The following is a 2,960-nucleotide window of genomic DNA, read 5'->3' on the forward strand; positions in this document are numbered from 1 at the left end:
TTATTTTAGGGTCCACACACCATGAGCTGTCACCAGGAACCTCCTGAACTTCTGGGGTGACTGAAGGTGTCCAGCGAGGCGACGTCATCCCATGCTCTCGGTACACAAGGTCAGGAGGCTGGAGGCACTCAGGGGCTGCAGCCTATCAGGTCTGTAAATAGCAGCAGCCAGGCTCGTGTTCTCTTCCTTTAGTGCACTTCGGCATTTCTAATCAGCTCCAGAGAGAACGAGACATATTCTCCACGGAGTGAACTCCAGGCCACTCTGGAGGTGAGCTCATGGGAGTTTTTATGATATGTCCAATCATCCAAAAGGAGAATGGGGCTTGCCCTGAGTGTCTGGGGAAGAGCCGTTCTGCCCTTGGTTGCCAAACTGCTGGCTTTTGGTGTGGGCACTAAGGAGGTATGGTCTGTAGCAGTTTCTTGTGGGTATCCATGTCCCATACCTTCAGGGAACTACAAATATGGGATTAGAATAATGTGGTGTTTTTTTTTTTTTTTAGGAAGTTTTTCTCTTGTTGCCCAGGCTGGAGTGCAATGGCGCAATCTCGGCTCACTGTAACCTCTGCCTCCTGGGCTCAAGTGATTCTCCTGCCCCAGCCTTCCAAGTAGCTGGGATTACAGGCATGTGCCACCACACCTGGCTAATATTTTGTACTTTTAGTAGAGATGAGGTTTCACCATGTTGGCCAGGCTGGTCTGAAACTCCTGACCTCAGGTGATCCACCCGCCTCGGCATCTCAAAGTACTGGGATTATAGGCATAAGCCACCATGCCAGGCCTAATGTAGGTCTTGATATTGAAACAGGAGTCTGTATGATGGAAGGAAGAGTGGTGGGCATGGGGAGACAGCCAGCCTAGCCCCGCCACTTTCCTCTGGGCAGCCTTGGGAAGTGCTCTGTTCTCTCCACTGTGCTGCAGACGCTCAACCAGGCACTTTACTTAATTTTGATAGCAGCCTTTCCTGCCAACTTCACATATCAAATGATATGATGCCTATGAAAGAACAAGAGAAGCCATATAGCAATATTCACATGCACATGGGAGATGCTGTTAATATTTATTTAGTTAGTTGAGTTTAGGGTTATTCTCTTCCTATGTTGCCAACGCCTTCCTGGCTTATTGCCAAAACTCTTCTTTTGTTTGCAGAAAATAAATATGACCCTGCTGGCTCTACCTTGCTCAAAAGAGTATCCATTTATTATTTGCTCTGTTCATTCATTCATTCATTCATTCATTCACGTATTCATCAGATTTGCTTGTGACAGTGGCAGGTCTTGAGAGTGGTAAAGTCTTAGACAATTTTAGAATTCAATAAGGAAGAATGTAAAAATAATTGTAATACAAAGTGAGAATGTTATAATGGAATCGTGTGCAAAATGTTTCAGAACACACAAAACTTACACACAGTGTTCATAGCAGCATTATTCATAATAGTCAAAAGAATGGAAACCACCCAAATGTCTACCAGCTGATGGATGAACAGATGGACAATGTGTTATATCCATACAATGGAATATATTACTCAGCAATTAAAATCAATGAAGTACTGACACATGTATTGTATGGATAAATCTTAAAAACATGCTAAGTGAAAGAAGCCAGCCACGAAAGACCACATATTGTATGATTCCTTTTATATGAGCTATGCAAGTCCATACTGACAGAATTCCCTTTATGTGGCAAGTCCACAGAGACATTAAGTAGATGAATAGGTGCCTGGGGCTGGGGCAGAGAGAGGAAGAGTGATTACTGCTAATGAGAAATGGTTTTTTTAGGGGCCATGAAAATATTTTCAAATTAGATTGTGGTAATAGTTACATACCCTATAATACACTGAGAACTCTTCAATAGGTGAATTTACTGTATGTGAATTAGATCTCATTAAAATCTTTAGAAAATGCTGTGGGAATATTGAAGAGAGATTAGTTTTGATCCATATGTCAGAAAAGTTCAAATTGGAGGAGATATTTGGATCAGCTCTTTTTTTTTTGAGACGGAGTCTTACTCTGTCACCCAGGCTGGAACTCAGTGACACGTTCTCAGCTCACTGCAACTTCCACCTCCCGCGTTCAAGCAATTCTCCTGCCTCAGCCTCCCAAGTAGCTGGGATTACAGACTCCCACCACCACACCCAGCTAATTTTTGTATTTTTAGTAGAGATGGGGTTTCACAATGTTGCCCAGGCTGGTCTCAAACTCCTGACCTTAAGTGATCCGCCTGCTTTGGCCTCTCAAAGTGCTGGGATTACAGGCGTGAGCCACCTCACCCCTGCTCTGCTCTTTTATTTATTTATTTTTTAAGAGACAGGGTCTTGCTGTGTTGTCCAGGTTGGAGTACAGTGGCTAACACGGGGGTGATCACAGTGCTCTACAGTCTTGAACTCCTGGGCTTAAGTGACCCTCTCACCTCAGCTTCCTGAGTAGTTGGGATTACAGGCATGCATTGCCATGCCCAGCTAATTTTAACATTTTTTTGTAGAGATGGGATTTGCTGTGTTTTTCAGCAACTCCTGGCCTCAAGGGATTCTCTTGCCTCAGCCTCCCAAAGTACTGGGATTATAGACATGCATCACCATGGCCAGCATTTTTTTTTTTTTGAGTTGGAGTCTTGCTCTGTTGCCCAGGCTGGAGTGCAGTGGCACAATCTCTGCTCACTGCAGCCTCTGCCTCCGGGTTCAAATGATTCTCCTGCCTCAGCCTCTCGAGTAGCTGGGATTACAGGCACCTGCCACCATGCCCGGCTACTTTTTGTATTTTTAGTAGAGATGGGGTTTCACCATGTTGTCCAGGCTTGTCTTGAACTCCTGACCTCAGGGGATCTGCCCACCTCAGCCTCCCAAAGTGCTGGGATTACAGGTGTGAGCCACTGTACCAGGCTACCATGCCCCGCTTTGAATCAGCTCTTGAGAGGCAAATTTGCCAAGTGAAAAGTGTGGGAAAGCATCCTAAACAGACGCAG

The sequence above is a fragment of the Homo sapiens genome, chromosome 18 (genome assembly GCF_000001405.40).
Source record: "Homo sapiens chromosome 18, GRCh38.p14 Primary Assembly".
In the NCBI taxonomy this organism is placed as follows: domain Eukaryota; kingdom Metazoa; phylum Chordata; class Mammalia; order Primates; family Hominidae; genus Homo; species Homo sapiens.